At 40.9% G+C, this 19,206-nt stretch overlaps 1 protein-coding gene and 1 non-coding gene across 19 annotated transcripts in view, besides 1 other annotated feature; both read right to left on the bottom strand.

Annotated features, from left to right (window-relative positions):
- The window catches only part of ZMYM4 (zinc finger MYM-type containing 4), a 153,350-nt gene that overhangs the window by 101,573 nt on the left and 32,571 nt on the right, over positions 1–19,206 (bottom strand). The window lies entirely within an intron of this gene.
- LOC124900419 (small nucleolar RNA SNORA62/SNORA6 family) lies at positions 10,061–10,212 on the bottom strand. Its single transcript, XR_007067347.1, has one exon. It is a non-coding gene; the product is annotated as a small nucleolar RNA SNORA62/SNORA6 family (small nucleolar RNA).
- Positions 18,985–19,183: a silencer, noted in NCBI's record as "fragment chr1:35766904-35767102 (GRCh37/hg19 assembly coordinates)". NCBI's record gives its function as "represses an EF-1alpha promoter that drives an FKBP-Casp9 reporter gene in an ReSE screen in K562 erythroleukemia cells {active_cell/tissue: K562}" and the evidence as "EXISTENCE:reporter gene assay evidence [ECO:0000049][PMID:32094911]".

The raw sequence follows: 19,206 nt of genomic DNA, 5'->3' as shown, positions 1-19,206 counted from the left end.
TTATAAAGGATACTACAAAGGATACAGGTGAACAACCTGATGAAAGAGATGCATAGGATGATACATGCTGGGGAGAGGCATGGAGTTCCCACGTCTTCTCTGGGCATGCCACCTTTCCAGCACCTCTGTGTGGTTCAGCAATCCGGAAGTTTTCTGAACCTTGCCTTTGGGGTTTTTATGGAGGCTTCATTATGCAGCCATGATTGAGTAAATCATTGGCACTGCTGCTCAACTCGATGTTTAGCCCTCTAGTCATGTCTTGGTATTTTTGGTGACCAGCCCCATGCTGAAGCTATGGAAAGGCCTGGCCCTAAGCCCAAGTCACTCATTAGTACACAATCCACACTTATCACTTCAGAGATTCCAACAGTTTTAGGAGCTGTGTGCCAGGAACCTGGGGCAGAAACCAAATATGTATTTCCTATTATATCACAGTATCACACTAGCCCAAAGATATTTTTATTTGTTCTGTATTTAGTAGCCTAGCACCTACAACACTGCGTAAAATATAACAAAAACTCAGTCTTTGCTAAATAAAAGAATCATTTCTATTAGTTAATAAGCAGTTTGAAACTTGTTTATTTAAAAAACTTAACCATAGAGTGTACTTTAAATTTTCCAAAACTCCCAAAGTTTCCACTGAAGTTTCAAATAATTTGTATACTTTCAACAGACCACTCCAAATCAAATGTCCAATCCTATTCCTATTCCTTCAACCGCCACAATGAGTAATGTTAGTCTTTCCCTGTTGCTACTCTGATTTGGATGTCCCTTAGTTTTTCAAATGTATTAATCCTGATGATTTTTACAATCATTTTTTTCAAGTTTCTCAATGTGAGAAATTTGTTTTGGAAAAATTTTTTTGAGACGGGTCTTGCTCTGTTGCCCAGGCTGGAATGCAGTAACATGATCATGGCTCACTGCAGCCTCAAACTCCTGAGCTCAAGGGATCCTCCCACCTCAACTCCCAAGTAGCTGGAACTAGAGGTGTGCACAACCACGCCCAGCTAATTTTTTAAAATTTTCTGTAGAGACTGGGTATTGCTATATTGCCCAGGCTGGTCTTGAACTCCTGGCCTCGTGATCTTCCCACCTCAGCCTCCCAAAGTGCTGGGAATGCAAGCATGAGCCACCACACCCAGCGATATTATATTTTTTATACAGGCAGCTACCACGCAGAAATATAAAAACGACTATGCAAGCTGAAACCATGCAAAGCAATCTTAATGATCAAAGAGAAAAATTAAAATTGTTCCATGATCTTTTTTTGTCAAAACACTTGAAACGTTAAAAACTCTGTCAGTTTGGCCAGGCACGGTGGCTCACACCTGTAATCCCAGCATTTTGGGAGGCCGAGGCGGGCTGATCACCTGAGGTCGGGAGTTCGAGACCAGCCTGACCAACATAGAGAAACCCTGTCTCTACTGAAAATACAAAATTAGCTGGCCATCATGGCCCATGCCTGTAATCCCAGCTACTCACGAGGCAGGAGAATCACTTGAACCCGGGAGGCGGAGGTTGTGGTGAGCCAACATCATGCCACTGCACTCCACCCTGGGCAACAAGAGCGAAACTCCGTCTCAAAAACAAAAACAAAAACACTGTGTCAGTTTAAATGTGTAGGGAAATGAAAAAATATTGTATAACTAATATTTGCTTACTACGTTATAATTTAAAATGTGAGAATCAAAGGGTTTTATTTATTTGTAAAAAATCTACCAGGAGTATGGCTGGGCACAGTGGTACATGCCTGTAATCCCAGCACTTTGGTATGCCAAGGCAGGCGGATGACTTGAGGTCAGGAGTTCAAGACCAGCCAGGCCAAGATGGTAAAACCCTGTCTCTACTAAAAATACAAAAATTAGCCAGGTGTGGTGGCACATGCCTGTAATCCCAGCTATTTGGGAGGCTGAGGCAGAAGAATCACTTGAACCTGGGAGACGGAGGTTGCAGTGAGCCGAGATTATGCCACTGTACTCCAGCCTGGGTGACAGAGCGAGACTTCGCCTCAAATTAAAAAACAAAAAAACAAAAAACCCTACCAGGAGTAGACAGTGCCTGCCTTTGTCTTTTCCTATGTAACTTGTGATACAGAATAAGCAACTTTTCCATGCCTTAACAAACTGTCAGCCGGGCACAGTGGCTCACCCCTATAATCCCAGCATTTTGGGAGGCCAAGGTGGGTGGATCACCTGAGGTCAAGAGTTCAAGACTAGCCTGGCCAACATGGTGAAACCCTGTCTCTACTAAAAATACAAAAATTGCCAGGCATGGTGGCACGTGCCTGTAGTCACAGCTACTCGGGAGGGTGAGGCAGGAGAATCACTTGAACCCGGGAGGCAGAGGTTGCAGTGAGCCAAGGTTGCGCAACTGTACTCCAGTCTGGGTGATAGAGTGAGACTCTGTCTCAAAAAAAAAAAAAAAAAAAAAACTGCCATAATCCCTTCTAAATTTGAATTGGCTTCCAAAATTATACCCTTTGCTCTTTGAATCTTTTGAGTATCTCAACGAGTTGTGTTACTGTGAAATTTGTACCAGTATTACTTCCACTATGACATTCGTCTCTTTGTTACAACATTTTCCTCATTTATGTTTGTAAGTTTGTCTTCACTGAATTCTTCAGGTGACATATCTACACACTCCCCTTTATGGCCACTTGAAGATCCTATGTCTTTCATTGCATAAGTTAATGATGGGCTGCATTCCAAAAAAGACCTATCCCATCAACATGTTAAATAGCTGATGATCACAATTACCTGCCTTAAGTAATCTCTGGAATCTGGGCACAAATTTCACAGCAGCATCCCGATCTGTTCTAGCATCTTTACCAGAAAACTTATCAACAATCTATGACCATTCTGAAATGATCAAACCAGCCTTTACTGGCAACAAGAAGTCCTTCGGTTGGCTTGTAATTAGTTTTCTTTCAGTGCAACAACTAACTTCAATGATTCAGCCTGAATGCTAGCCAAATTGACTACATTTTATACAATTTATTTAAATTACGTGATAAAGCTATCTATCTATCTATCTATTTATTTATTTATTTTTTGAGACAGAGTTTCACTCTTGTTGCCCAGGCTGGAGGGCAATGGCGCAATCTCAGCTTACTGCAGCCTCCACCTCCCGGGTTCAAGGGATTCTCTTGGCTCAGCCTCCTGAGTAGTTGGGATTACAGGTGCCGCCTTCACACCTGGCTAATTTTTTGTGTTTTTAGCAGAGACAGGGTTTCACCATGTTGGCCAAGCTGGTCTCGAACTCCAGACCTCAGGCGATCCACCTGCCTCGGCCTCCCAAAGTGCTGGGATTACAGGCGTGAGCCACCACGCCTGGCTGAAGCACTTTAACTTTTTTTTTTTTTTTGAGATGAAGTCTCGCTCTTGTCCCCCAGGCTGGAGTGCAATGGCATGATCTCGGCTCACTGCAACCTCCACCTCCCAGATTCAAGTGATTCTCCTGCCTCAGCCTCCCAAGTAGCTGGGGTTAGAGACGCCTGCCACCATGCCCAGCTAATTTTTGTATTTTCAGTAGAGACAGGGTTTCACCATGTTGGCCAGGCTGGTCACAAACTCCTGACCTCAGGTGATCCGCCCGCCTCAGCCTCCCAAAGTGCTGGGATTACAGGCGTGAGCCACCAATTGAATTTTTTCAATATAGTTCATACTGTAACTACATGCAGGCCTAGCTCTTGTCCTATCTTCACTTGCCTGTCACCATTTTTGGATCATCTAATCACATCTAATTTTTCAGTTCCTGTGTTATCACTTTTGATTCCTTTTCTGAACTTTCATCTTTTTTTGCAAATTCTCTCCTCTTGAGTATCCATTTTCATAAAATGTCACATAAGTTTATAATTGGGAGACAAGGATGCAACACAACTACACACTTTGCTGTCTGTGTATGAACTAAATAATAGATGCAGAGTGAAAAACTGCAACACAGACTCTGAAAGAAGTGATGTGATTAGTCACTGCTCGTGAGACATCTGCTAATTACATAGTGATTTGTTAACACAAGAGCTAGCACTGAAGTTTATACTTTATGCAATTGCTCACAGTTAACACACTATGGTAAATGAAATATGAACTGTGTTGTTAGAGAACTGGCATTTAAACCTTGGCAACTGAAATTCAAGCATATCAGAACAAAATAAAAGTGAGGACTAACTTACTATTACACATTTGCTACCAAATACACAGTAGGTCTTGAGAAGGACTACTAATTTCAATACTGTAATAGTCTAGTCACTGTTCTGCTACTAACAAACAAAGCTTAAGGGAGAAACTTCACTCCTCTGGGACTCGATTTCTTCAACCCATATAATTAATATATAATAAAGTTGGGCTACATAATCCTAAAAACTCTTTCCAAACGTTCAAATTTAATGCTCACAATTCACTCTCAAGCTAGGCATAAACTAAAAACTTGAATTAGTATTATATAATGGACACTGAATACTTGTTAAGAAAACTATAAAAAGTAGGTCTAATTCTCTATACATAAAGTATTTCTTTTTAATTAAATGACTTTTAAAAAATAATAATAATTTTTTTTTTCCCCCAGACAGGGACTCACTCTGTCACCCAGGCCAGGGTGCAGTGTCATGATCTTTGCTCACCACAGCCTTGAACTCCTGGGCGCCAGCAATCCTTCCGTCTCAGCCTCCTGAGTAGTTGGGACTACAGGTACATCCAGTGAATTTTTTTCTTTATTTTTTTGTAGAGACAGGGTCTCACTGTTGCCAATTCTGGTCCCAAACCCCCAGGCTAAAGCGATCCTCCCAACTCAGCCTCCCAAAGTGCTAGGGTTACAGGGGTGAGCCTGACTTTTTAAGACATTAACAATTCTTCCTTTAAAAAAGAAGCAAATACATCTTCTTTTCGCATTTTTATTCATTTCAAAATTTATGTAAAGTTACTTAAACAAAATGATTAGTTCACAGAAATTACACTGACATAAACTAAAAACAGGCTTGGTTTCTCCATCAAAAAAAGACTGGCTAACTGTCAACTTGCTGTAGGTACACTTATTGTCTGTAATACACATTTCATGTGCTGGTAGTAATTTTTTTTAGTAGAACTTTTTTTAAAGGTTATATAAAATAAAAACCAAAGTTCTACGTAGAAGCAATGGAGTTAAGTTGCATTTTACAACTCAAATTGTATAAAATAAAGCAACTGAATTACTTTCAAGTTCAGAAAAAAACTTAACAAGCCAGCTACTAAAAATGTTCTATTGAAGTTTTGCAAAACGTATCTTTTGAGTGTTAAATTTACATTATATATTTTAATGAAAAAACTTGTTTGAATAGCTACAATAACCTGATAAACATAAAATAGTCGAAATGTATCACTGAATATAGAGAATAGAGCCCATTACTGAGAAAATAGCTTTAAAAAAAAAAAAAAGGCCATCACCTTAAAATTACTTTTGTTTTTTTTGTTTTTGTTTTTTTGTTTTTTTGAGATGGAGTCTTGCTCTTGTCACCCATGGAGTACAATGGCGTGATCTCGGCTCACTGCAAACTCTGCCTCCTGGGTTAAAGCAATTCTCCTGCCTCAGCCTCCCAAGTAGCTGGGATTATAGATGCGCACCACCACACCTGGCTAATTTTTGTATTTTTAATAGAGACAGGGTTTCACCATGTTGGCCAGGCTGGTCTTGAACTCCTGACCTCAGGTGATACGCCCGCCTCAGCCTCCCAAAGTGCTAGGATTAGGCATGAGCCACTGCGCCCAGCCAAAATTATTTTTTTAATGACTTCTTTTCACAAAAGTTAAGGATAGAAATCAAACTACCCCAGCAAAAAAAAAAAAAAAAATCATTTTTGAATAGTTAAATAATGTCTCCCTTTCAATCTGCAAGTATAAAATACTATATTTACCCTTAAAAGTAAACTGGGGCCAGGCGCAGTGGCTCACACCTGTAATCCCAGCACTTTGGGAGGCTGAGGCAGGTGGATCACTTGAGGTCAGGAGTTCAAGACCAGCCTGGCCAACATGGTGAAACCCCGTCTCTACTAAAAATACAAAAATTAGCCGGGTGTGGTGGCAGGTGCCTGTAACCCCAGCTACTCAGGAGGCTGAGGCAGGAGAATCGCTGGAACCCGGGAGGCGGAGGTTGCAGTGAGCTGAGATTGTGCCACTGCACTCCAGCCTGGGAGACAGAGCAAGACTCCGTCTCAAAAAAAAAAGAGTAAACTATTTTTTTTTTGAGGGAAAAGAAAAATAAACTATAGTTTTTGTCATTAAGTTTACTAGTCCAAAATAATGTATAGAATTGGTTACCAAGTTGGAAGAATCAGGAATATTTATGATAAAATCATGGCATTCCTCAAAGAAACTATTTTCAGTGCTTCCTAAAGTCTATAGCAAACATGATGTAAATTATAAAACTTATAACTAAAACAACAAATAAAAGTTTTCTCAATTATTTAAGGTAAAAATAAAAACCTTGGACTGCTTCTCTTCAATTAGTGATACCTAAAGTTAAGCAGAGGTGTGAGTTTTCAGGAACTAAGAGTATGTGAATGACCTCTAGTCAGCAAATGGTTGCTAGGCTCTATTTTAAATTTAGGCCCAGTTAGCCACTTGGGATCCAACTTGAAAGACCGGCCCTTTCAGGCTCACATTTTTTCACATAGATCATATTATATACACCTTTAAAATATAATATACATTTTTAACATAAATTTTTAAAATAAAAATTCCAATAATAAAGGCTTCATTTTAGCCAATACACACAACCTTTACAATCTCCCAACCTCTAAGACTGTCACTGCAAATAAAAGTGACAGAGGCCAGGTGAGGTGGCTCACACCTGTAATCTCAACACTTTGGGAGGCCAACCTGGGTGGATCACCTGAGCTCAGGAGTTCGAGACCAACCTGGGCAACCTGGTGAAAACCCACCTTTACTAAAATACAAAAAATTAGCCGGGTGTGGTGACGCCCGCCTGTAGTCCCAGCTACTCGGGAGGCTGAGGCACAAGAATCATTTGAGCCCAGGAGGTGGACGTTGCAGTGGGCTGAGATCGTGCTACTACACTGCAGCTTGGGCTACAGAGTGAGACTCTGTCTCAAAAAAAAAAAAAAAAGAAAAAGAAAAAGAAAAAGTGACAGATAAAAGTTTACCTTTAAAATACTTAAGATAGGCTGGGTGCAATGGCTCACGCCTGTAATCCCAACACTTTGGGAGGCCAAGGCAGGGAGATCACTTAAGGTCAGGAGTTTGAGACCTGCCTGGCCAACATGGTGAAACCCCGTACCTAATAATAATAAAAATGTTAGCTGGGGCCGGTCACGGTGGCTCATGCCTGTAATCCCAGCACTTTGGGAGGCTGAGGCGGGTGGATCACCTGAGGTCAGGAGTTCCAGACCAGCCTGGGCAACATGGTGATACCCTGTCTCTACTAAAAACACAAAAATTAGCCAGCTGTGGTGGCACTCGCCTCTAGTCCCAGCTACTCGGGAGGCTGGGGCAGGAGAATCACTTGAACTCAGGAGGCAGACGTTACAGTGAGCTAAGATCGTGCCACTGCACTCCAATCCGGGTGACAGAGCGAGACTCCGTCTCCAAAAACAATAATAATAATAAAAGAAATTAGCCAGGTATGGTGGCAAACACCTGTCCCAGCTACTTGGAAAGCTGAGGCACAAGAATCACTTGAACCTGGGAGGCGGAGGTTGCAGTCAGCCAAGATTGTGCCACTGCACTCCAGCCTGGGCAACAGAGTGAGACTCTGTCTCAAAAAAGGAAGGAAGGGAGGGAGGGAGGGAAAGAAGGGAAAGAAAGAAAGAAAAGAAAGAAGGGAAAGAAGAGAAAGAAAGAAGGAAAGAAAAAGAAAAGAAAGAAAAAAAGACATTTGCTGCCACATAATTTAAACAATAAAAAAAGTACTAGTACCACTGCAGGGAAATGGTTAATTTATTAAGACAGATTAAACACGAAATTCTACGCAGACTTTAAAAAGAATATGGTAGAGGGTTCTGGATATGGATGGTGTTAATAGTAGCACAACAATGCGAATGTACTTAATGCCACTGAATTATACACCTAAAAATGGTTAAATGGAAGATTTTATGTTATGTATATTTTATCAAAATAAAGGTATAAAAAGGTATATTATTTATGGCATCAGAGTTCCAGAAGCAGAGGAGAAAGACTGCAGAGCAGAAAAAAATATCTGAAGAAATAATGGCTGAAAACTTCCCAAATTTGATGAAAGACAGATAGATATCTGCAGATTCAAGAAGCTAAGCAAACGTCAAACAGGAAAACCCAAAGATATATACACCAAGACACTCATAATCAAACTGCCAAAACCTAAACAACAACAACAACAAAAATCTTTGAACAGTCAGAAACAAACAACACATTACTTATAACTACAGACTTTCCATCAGAAACCATGGATGCCAAAAGAAAGAAAAACAGGCAGGGTATGGTGGCTCATGACTGTAATGCCAGCACTTTGGGAGGCCAAGATGGGAGGATCGCTTGAGCCCAAAGTTTGAGGCTGCAGTGAGCTAGGATCACCACTGCACTCCAGCCTGGGTGACAGAGTGAGACCTCGTCTCGAAAAAAAAGGAAAAAGAAAAAGAAAGGCTCTTCATACAAAAGTGAAATAATATCAGAAGAAAATGTAGAAAATTGAGAATGAAGAGCAACAGAAATAATAAATATCTGAATAAATATAACTATTTCTATATATAGACTATTGCTTTATTTTTCACTTCTTTAACCTATGTTTAACAGTGGAGTGTAAAAAATATTACACGGTTTTCAATATATACATATATGGAAACTACAACATAAAAGGGAGAGTAAAACAGCCCTCCAAATTCATTGTCTAGATCTCACTTGAAGTGACTTTTTTTTTTGAGACACAGTCTCCCTCTGTCACCCAGACTAGGGTACAGTGGTACGCTCATGGCTCAGTGCTGGGATTACAGAATGAGCCACCACGCCAGGTCTGAAGTGATAAAATACTGATTCTATGAAGCCAGTCCCAAAACATTATATACTACAGTAGTTCATTTATGACTTTTTTTTTTTTTTTTTTGAGACAGAGTTTTGCTCTTGTTGCCGAGGCTGGAGTGCAATGGCATGATATCGGCTCACTGAAACCTCCGCCTCCTGAGTTCAAGCGATTCTCATGCCTCAGCCTCTTGAGTAGCTGGGATTACAGGTGCATGCCACCATGCCTAGCTAATTTTTTTGTGTTTTTAGTAGAGACGGGGTTTCACCATGTTGTCCAGGCTGGTTTCAAACTCCTGACCTCAGGTGATCCACCTGCCTCAGTCTCCCAAAGTGCTGGGATTACAGACGTGAGCCACAATGCCTGGCCTTCTCACTTACGACATTCTCAAAAACACAAAACTATAGCGACAGATAACACTACAGTGGCAGCCAGTGGCTAAAGGTGAATAGAGGCTATGACTACAAAAGAAAGCACCCCAAAAATGGGGTGATAGAAGCGTATACTGTTTGCGGTGGTGTTTATAAGAATCTATGTGTGTGTTTAAAATTCAATCCAGTATGCACCAAATGTCAAAAAAGGAATTTTATAGATTTTCATACTCGTGTGAATTAGAAAAAGAAAAAAGAGGCCGAATGCGGTGGCTCACACCTGTAATCCTAGCACTTTGGGAGGCCGAGGCAGACAGATCACCTGAGGTCAGGAGCTCGAGACCAACCTGGCCAACATGGTAAAACCTTGTCTCTACTAAAAATATAAAATTAGCTGCGTGTGATGGTGCATGCCTGTAATCCCAGCTACTCGGGAGGCTGAAGCAGGAGAACCACTTGAATCTGGGAGGTAGAGGTTGCAGTGAGCTGAGATTGTGACATTGCACTCCAGCCTGGGCAACAAGAGCAAAACTCCATCTCAAAAAAAAGAAAAGAAAAAAGGAATTTTAGCATACATTCATTTAAAAAATAAAATACATACGTATGCAACATAAATTTATGTATAATTGTAAATAAATACAGTGAGTAGTAAAATTACAAGAGATTTTTATCTTTTCTGTATACCTTTTTATTTTTATTTATTTATTTTCACTTGTATCAAAAATTACTATCAAACTCCACTCACTGGATCAGAGACCCTTGTAATATTAGTGAAAAACTTGCCCCTCATGTAGCACACTACCTACACTTGTGAGCTTATACCTTTTAAAATCTTTCAAATCATCTACAACAATGCTGCCTTCATAATAAAAGTAAGACATTCAAAGATAACCATAAAATGCTTGGACGAGGTGGCTCACGCCTGTAATCCCAACACTTTGGGAGGCCGAGGCAGGTAGATCACTTGAAGTCAGGAATTCGAGACCAGCCTGGCCAACATGGTGAAACCCCATCTCTACTAAAAAAAAATATACAAACATTAGCCGGGCATGGTGGTGGGTGCCTTAATCTCAGCTACTGAGGAGGCCTGAGGCAGGAGAATCGCTTGAACCTGGGAGGCGGAGGTAGCAGTGAGCCGAGATCGCGCCATTGCACTCTAGACCTTGGGCGACAAGAGTGAAACTCCATCTCAAAAAAAAAAAAACAAAAAAAAACACACAACACAAAAAAACCCCACAAAATACTTAAGTTTTTTTAAGAAGATGTCCCTTAAATATAGTTCTGTTATAGAATTACTTGAAAAATAAATAAATCAGAATATTCTAAAGTAGTTTTTTTGTGGGTTTTTTTTTAAGACAGAGTCTTACTCTGTCGGCCAGGCTGGACTACAGTGGTGCGATCATAGCTCACTGTAGCCTCAAGCTCCTGGGCTCAAGCAATCACCATAAAGTATTTTGAGATCGCAAATATAAAGTGTAATTACAAAGGCAGACAACTGCTTTCCCCAACCTATCCCTAAAAATCTACTAACAAAACAATTACAAGGTTTTTAAAGAGATAGATGAGACAGGATAACCTAGTTTCTTATGTGTAATCTCCCCTTTCAGAATATATAATCATTATACACATATAAATGATCAGTACAAAGCCAAATATTAGACAAATTATTCTGACTAAATTCTTTATTGCTCAATTACCTAAAACTATTTTATCCTTTCCTTACAAGTCTAAGGAACAAATCTAAGGCAATGCCCAGCACAATTTAAAGGACAAATATGTGTTTGTTGAATACATAATGCAATCATAAAGCTATTCTTAAAATTTAAGAAAAACATTTCGGTCTATGTCAAAGAAATAAGCTAAATTTACAAAAATGCATTCAAAGAATAAAGTTTATTTAAATAACTCATTTTCATAAAGATCCCCAAACTTGTACCATGTATAACCAAAATTATAAAATTAATATTATAAAATGTCAACAGTTAAGTCATCTTGTTTCATTTCTCAGATTCAATGAGGTTGGCATCCATATTTAGTCAGGAAGGCAACTGTGCTATAGAACCTCTCTCAAACCCACCCACCATTTCTCCCCAAATTCACATACCATTCTAACATGTCTTCCATTTTCTGTCATTCACACCACTTTTCCTCTTTCAAACAAGGCTGTCTGCTCTAATCTTTCAACTTGCTATGTCAATTATTTGGTATTATTGTTTTGCATGAATCTTCCAAAAGCAAAAAATTTCCTTTTATCATCCACTTTCTTTTGTTTTCTGAGACAGGGTCTCACTCTGTCACCCAGGCTGGAGTGCAGTGGCATGATCTCGGCTCACTGCAACCTCCACCCCCCACGTTCAAGCAAACCTCCCACCTCAGCCTCCTGAGTAGCTGGGACTACAGGCATGCGCCACCATGCCCAGCTAATTTTTGTATTTTTGGTAGAGACAGGGTTTCGCCATGTTGCCCAGGATGGTCTCGAACTGCTGAGCTCAAGTGATTTCATCCCTCTTGGCCTCCGAAAGAGCTGGGATTACAGCCGTGAACCACCACACCCGTCTTATCATCCACTCTTAACTACGAAAACTCACTTTGATTCTAGTACTTCAAGCGGAACACTAAAGTAGACTAGTTCAGGCGACTAGGGTTCTAGACCAGCTCAACCACCAAATTATGAGAGATTGGGCCTAAAAGTCTGAAATTTCTCAATGAATGAACTCCTATTTCTCAAGCACCTGGCACGGGAGACAGTTTGTATATACCATTGCATTTCATTTGTGTGGGACACAGTAGGTGTACTCTGTACATATTATTAAGTGAATAAACTACCTTAAAATTAAGTACTATGGTCAGGTGCAGTGGCTCATGCCTGTAATCCCAGCACTTTGGGAGGCTGAGGCAGGTGGATCACTTGAGGTCAGGAGTACAAGACCAGCCTGGCCAACGTGGCAAAACCCCATTTCTACTAAAAATACAAAAATTAGCCAGGTGTGATGACACATGCCTGTAATCCCAGCTACGCAGGAGGCTGAGGCAGGATAATTGCTTGAACCCAGGAGGTGGAGGTTGCAGTGAGCCAAGATTGAGCCACTGCACTCCAGCCTGGGTGATATCGAGATTCCATCTCAAAAAAATTAAAAAATTAGCCGGGTGCGGTGGCAGGCGCCTGTAATCCCAGCTACTTGGGAGGCTGAGGCAGGTGAATCACTTGAACCCGGGAGGCGGAGGTTGCAGTGAGCCGAGATTGCACCATTGCACTCCAGCCTGGGGGACAGAAGTAAGACTTCGTCTCAAAAAATAGTAATAGCCAGGCGCGGTGGCTCACGCCTGTAATCCCAGCACTTTGGGAGGCCGAGGCGGGCAGATCACAAGGTCAGGAGATCGAGACCATCCTAGCTAACACGGTGAAACCCTGTCTCTACTAAAAACATAAAAAATTAGCCGGGCGTGGTGGCGGGCACCTGTAGTCCCAACTACTTGGGAGGCTGAGGCAGGAGAATGGCGTGAACCCGGGAGGCAGAGCTTGCAGTGAGCCGAGATCGTGCCACTGCACTCCAGCCTGGGCGACAGAGCAAGACTCTGTCTCAAAAAAAAAATAATAATAATAATAATAATAATAAAAATAATTAAAAATTTTTTTTAAACAATTAAAATTTTTTTTTAAAGTACTGCATGTGTTTGCAGATACACAGAAAAACATCATTTACCTTCTAAGGGAATTCTGTTTGTCCAAGGGTACCCATGTGATGTCACAGCCAGACACTGTACCAAGGTACAGGGGTTTTTGCACTGCATTCATACCCTGAAAGCTTTCTAAACTGCACAGCACTAAAACCTAAACCTACCAAATTTTCACTACCAATGCAGTGTTTTCTCCCCTTACTCTAATGTGGACTTTTATGTTCAAATTCAGTTAGTCTCTCTATCATGCCTACTAAATGATACTACTAAGAATTCAAAAGATGAAAGTAATTTTAAAGATAATTTAGTATTAACAGAGATCTCTCATTTTAGAGATGAGGAAAAAGAAATCACCCAAGGACATTCAGAAAGTTAACATGCCCAGTTCAGTCAGTTAGCCAACGGTAATTTATTGCATATTTGCCTACTACAAATCAGGCACAAACAGTGCTGGTCTGCATTAAAACTATGTTAAAACAGATCTGAAAATGAAGCATTTCTGTACTTTTCAGTTTATCAGGAAATGTAGATATTACACAAACAATTACATAGTTAGATGAATGGTATCAAGGGGAAGAAGAAAATGCTATGAAATGTATTTAGCAGTGACTTAACCTAGTCTACAAATTTAAAAGGCATCCATGAGATCAGAAGGATGAAAAAGCATTTGCTATAGGGAAAGGTAAGAAAGTTTTAGTAGAGGAGGTCCACAACAGAAGAAATGGAGTATAGGTGTAAAAGAAACAAGACATAAAACTAAATATATAATCAGGACCATATATGCCCAACCTTGAATGATTTTGAACTTTATCATATGGTTACTGGAAAGCCACTGAAAAATTTTAAGTAGAGCCATAATGTGATTAAAGAATTTAAAAGATCACTCTGGAACATCTTATTGTGTTAAAAAGTAAGTAAAGACCAAAAAACTAATGGATATTTTAAAAAATAAAATGAAACAAAAAGAAGGTAGGTTAGAGGGGCTCCCACAGGCTGAATATGGGATAATTTGAGTATCAAAATGAATACTGGTAACAATGGATCATGACACACTGATTAAAGAATTCGTGAGACCTTACTGATACATAAAAATAAACAAGCATTCATAGAAGGAAAATATAAGACAAGGCCCTAAAATATGGTGGAGAAAAAGGAAGGGAGAGAGATAAATGAAATATACTATTCTACAGGTTCTATAAATGATATAATTTTTAAAGATAATAACTTAAAAGATGCATGCTGTAATCTTTACAATAACCTCTAAATACAAAGGAATACATCTAAATACTCAAAATAGAACAGTGAAAAAATGCAATCTACCTACAATAAGGCGAGAATAAAGAACAAATGGCATCAATAAGACACAAATAAGAAGACAGAAGACTTAAATCCAACTATGTAATTACTACATTAAGTCTAAAAGGAATAAACACAACAATTACAAACTGTCAGACTGCAGAAAAAGGCAAAACCCACATAGAGACACAGACTGAAAGTCAAAGGGTGGGGAGGGTAACACATGTCAATCCAAACACTAAGCATAAAAAAACCCTGATATTATATATAACCACATTAATCTCAGATATAGGAGGCCTAAAGAGAAAGTATGCACCCAGCACAGTGGCTCACACCTGTAATCCCAACACTTTGGGAGGCAAAGGAAGGAGGATCACTTGAGGCCTGGAGTTGGAGACCAGCCTGGGCAACAAAGCAAGAAAAATCCCATCTCCACAAAAAATAAGAAAACTCAGCTAGGCACAGTGGTGTGTACCTGTAGTTCCAGCTACTTGGGAGGCTGAGATGGGAGGACTGCTGGAGCCCAGGAGTTCGAGGCGGCAGTAAGTTATGATTACGCCACTGCACTCCAGCCTGGGTGATGAGCAAGACACTGTCTCTAAAAAAAAAGAAGAGAAAACATGACAAGAATAGAGTCACTCAGCCAAGCATGGTGGCCCAAGTCTGTAATCCCAACACTTTGGGAGGCTGAGAGATCACCTGAGAAAAAAAATCTTAAAAAAAACAGAAAGAAAAAAGAATAGAGTCACTAAATATGATCATCAACAAGACATAACTCTATATGTGAAGCAACTAACAATACAACTTCAAAATACATGAAGCAAAAAACAGAACTAAAGAGATAAGTAAAATCTCCAACTGTGGCTGCAGATTTATAGTTCTGTCAGTTAGAACAAGACAAAAAAACAAGTAAGACACAGAAGATTTTTACAGCCCTACCAACCAACTTGACCCAAGTGGTATTTATAGAAACACTACACCTAATAACTTGGTATGCACTTTTTAAAGTTTACTTGTGGGCTGGGCGCAGTCGCTCACGCCTGTAATCCCAGCACTTTGGGAGGCCAAGGCGGATGGATCACGAGGTCAGGAAATCAACACCATCCTGGCCAACATGGTGAAACCCCATCTCTACTAAAAATACAAAAATTAGCTGGTCGTAGTAGCGCATGCCTGTAATACCACCTACTTAGGAGGCTGAGGCAGGAGAATCGCTTGAACCAGGCAGTCAGAAGTTGCAGTGAGCTGAGATTGCGCCACAGCACTCCAGCCTGGGGACAGAGCAAGACTCTGTCTAAAAAATAATAAAAAATAAAGTTTACTTGTGGAGGCACCAAGATACACTATATGCTGGACCATAAAAAAAGAGCATCGATAGAAATCAAATAATTGAGGCTGGGAGTGGTGGCTCACACGTGTAATCCTATCACTTTGGAAGGCCAAGGTGGGAAGATTGCTTGAGGCCAGAAGCTGGAGACCAGCCTGGGAAACATGGTGAAACCCCATATCTAAAAAAAAAAAAATACAAAAAAAAAATTAGCCAGGCATTGTGGCACACGCTATAGTCACAGGTACTCTTAAGAGGCTGAGGTGGGAGGATGATTTGAGCCCAGGAGGCAGAGGTTGCAGTAAGCTAAGATCGAGCCATTGCACCCCAGCCTGGATGACAGAGCCAGATCCCGTCTCAAAGAAAAAAAAAAAGAAAAAAAAATCAAATAACTGAAATAATAGAAAATACATTCTCTGACCTCAGTGGTATTAAATTTGAAATCACTATAAAACAAGATAATTACAATATCAAAAATTAGAAATTAAGCATACTTCTAAAGAAACTGTATGGCCGGGCGCGGTGGCTCACGCCTGTACTCCCAGCACTTTGGGAGACCAAGGCGGGCAGATCACTAGGTCAGGAGTTCGAGACCAGCCTGGCCAACATAGTGAAACCCCATCTCTACTAAAAATACAAAAAATTAGCCGAGTGTGCTGGTATGCACCGGTAATCCCAGCTACTCAGGAAGCTGAGGCAGGAGAATCGCATGAATGTGGGAGGCGGAGGTTGCAGTGAGCCAAGATCATGGCATTGCACTCCAGCCCAGGCGACAGCGCGAAACTCCGTTTCAAAAAAAAAAAAGAAACTGTATGGTAATGTAAGTAGAAAAATAAATCAGAGAAAACTCAGTAAATATTTTGAACTGAATGATATATAAACACAACTTACTAAGAGTTTGGGGATGCACTTAAAGCAGGGCTTAGAAATGTCTATAGCTTTAAACCATAAGTTATTGATATAACTTAAAGAAGGATGCCAAATCAAGAAGCTAGGAAAAGAAAGCAAAGTAAACCCAAAATAAGTGGAAAGAAGGAAATAATAAAGATAAAAGCAAACATCAATCAAATAATGATAAAAGCAAAAATAAATTAAATAGAAAATAAAGAACAGCATAAAAATCAGTGAAACCAAAAATGAGTTCTATCAAAAGATCAATATAGGCTGGGCGCTGTGGCTCATGCATGTATCACTTGAGGTCAGGAGTTTGAGACCAGCCTGGCCAACATGGCAAAGCCCTGTCTCTACTAAAAATCCAAACATTAGATCGGTGTGATGGTGCGTGCCTATAGTCGCAGCCACTTGGGAGGGTGAGGCAGGAGAATCGCTTGAACCCAGACGGCGGAGGTTGCAGTGAGCCGATATTGTGCCACTGTACTCCAGCCTGGGTGACTCCGTCTCAAAAACAAACAAACAAACAAACAAAAAACACAAATTGCCAATATCAGGAATGAAAGAGAGATCACCACTACAAATCTACAGACATTACAAGGAATATAAAGAAATACTATAAGCAATTTTTTTTCTTTTCTTTTTTTTTTTTTTTTGAGACAAGGTATCCCTCTGTCACCAGGCTGGAGTGCAGTGGTACCATGACAGCTCATTGCAGCCTCGACCTCCCAAGTTCAACTGATCCTCCCACCTCAGCCTCCAGAGTAGCTGGCACTACAGGCAATCACCACACCTAACTAATTTCTGGATTTTTTGCAAAGACAAGGTTTTTTTGTTTTTTTTTTTTTGCCAGGTTTCCCAGGTTGGACTCGAACTCCTAGACTCAAGTGATCCTCCCACCTCAACCTCTGGTGGAGCTAGGAATATAGGCGTGGTCACTATGCCCTGGATAATTTTTTTTTTTTTTTGGAGACAGTGTTTCCCTGTATTGCTCAGGCTGGTCTCAAACTCCTGGCCTCAAGCAATCCTCCCACCTCCAGCCTCCAGAGTAGCTGAGATTGCAGGCATGAGCCACCACATCAGGCTCTCTTTTTAAAAACAGCTCTTTAAAATGCAAAAGCCAGACTGGGTGCAGTAGCTCACACCTGTAATCCCAGCACTTTAGGAGGTCAAGGCTGGAGGATCACATAAGCCCAGAAGTTTGAGACCAACTTAGCAACATAGTAAGATCCCATCTCTACAAAAAAATAGTCAAATTAGGCTGGGCGCTGTGGCTCACACCTGTAATCCCAGCATTTTGGAAGGCCGAGGAGGGCGGATCATGAGGTCAGGAGATCGAGACCATCCTGGCTAACATGGTGAAACCCTGTCTCTACTAAAAATACAAAAAATTAGTGGGGCATTGTGGCAGGCACCCATAGTTCCAGCTACTCGGGAGGCTGAGGCAGGAGAATGGCATGAAACCGGGAGGCGGAGCTTGCAGTGAGCTGAGATCGCACCACTGCACTCCAGCCTGCACAACAGAGCAAGACTCCATCTCAAAAAAAAAAAAAAAAAAAAAAAAAGTCAAATTAGCCAGTCCGCTGGCACAGGCCTGTAGTCCCAGCTTCTCCAGAGGCTGAGGCAGGAGGATCTATTGAGCCCAGGGGTCAAGGCAGCAGTGAGCTGTGATGGTGCCACTGCACCCCAGCCTGAGTAACATAGCAAGGCCCTGTCACAAAAAAAAAAAAAAAAAAAAAAAAAGCAAGAGCCGTTTTTAGCTTGTGGATAATACAAAAATAGGCTACCGACTAGAATTTGGCCTGTGAGCTACAGCTTGTTGACCCTTGTTCTAGAGACTGCGCTCAGACAACAAAAATGAATGGAACAGGATTTCAACTTTTCGGCTATTATGAAGTAACAGAGAGTGGATTTACCTTCCTGCCTTAAACAACTAAAAGGTCAGACAAAATTATGAAGTAAATTTTTCAGGCATTGGAGAACAGGCAGAATAGAACAGTAAGCTCTGAGAGAAGAGAAACAAACGAGGTGAGTCCTATCATTGCCCCAGCTTACCATCTGAGAGTTTCCAGGCCACATAGCATACAGAGTGAACCTAAATGGAGCCTGGCAATCTCCCGAAGTTGAGGAAACAGGGTTCAGAGTTAGCAGACATCAAAGAGGCCAGAATACTAAAAAGGAGAGAGATACACTGAGAAGTTCAGAGATCTGCAGAGTACTCTCCTCTAGTCTTCAGCTAAGTATCAAGCTGCACAAGTAAGAGAAGAAACCATGGAGGCCAGTGAAACAGTCACCAGAAAAAAGCGGGCAGAACAATTCCTAGAGTTTATACAGGGCCTGAAATAGTTCATGTTCCATCAACCAGAAGGAAAAGACAAGACTTTTTTTTTTTTTTTTTGAGACACCCTCTCACTCTGTCACCCAGGCTGGAGTACAGTGGCATGACCTTGGCTCACTGCAGCCTCCACCTCCTAGGTTCAAGCGATCCTCCTGTCTCAGTCTCCTGACTAGCTGGGACTACAGGCACCTGCCACCATGCCAGACTAATTTTGTACTTTTAGTAGAGACGAGGTTTCACCATGTTGGCCAGGCTGGTCTTGAACTCCTGACCTTAAGTGATCCGCCCGCCTTGGCCTCCCAAAGTGCTGGGATTACAGGTGTAAG

The sequence above is a fragment of the Homo sapiens genome, chromosome 1 (genome assembly GCF_000001405.40).
Source record: "Homo sapiens chromosome 1, GRCh38.p14 Primary Assembly".
In the NCBI taxonomy this organism is placed as follows: Eukaryota; Metazoa; Chordata; class Mammalia; order Primates; family Hominidae; genus Homo; species Homo sapiens.
Note: the sequence above shows the minus strand (reverse complement) of the source record. Positions and strands in the feature narration are given on the sequence as shown.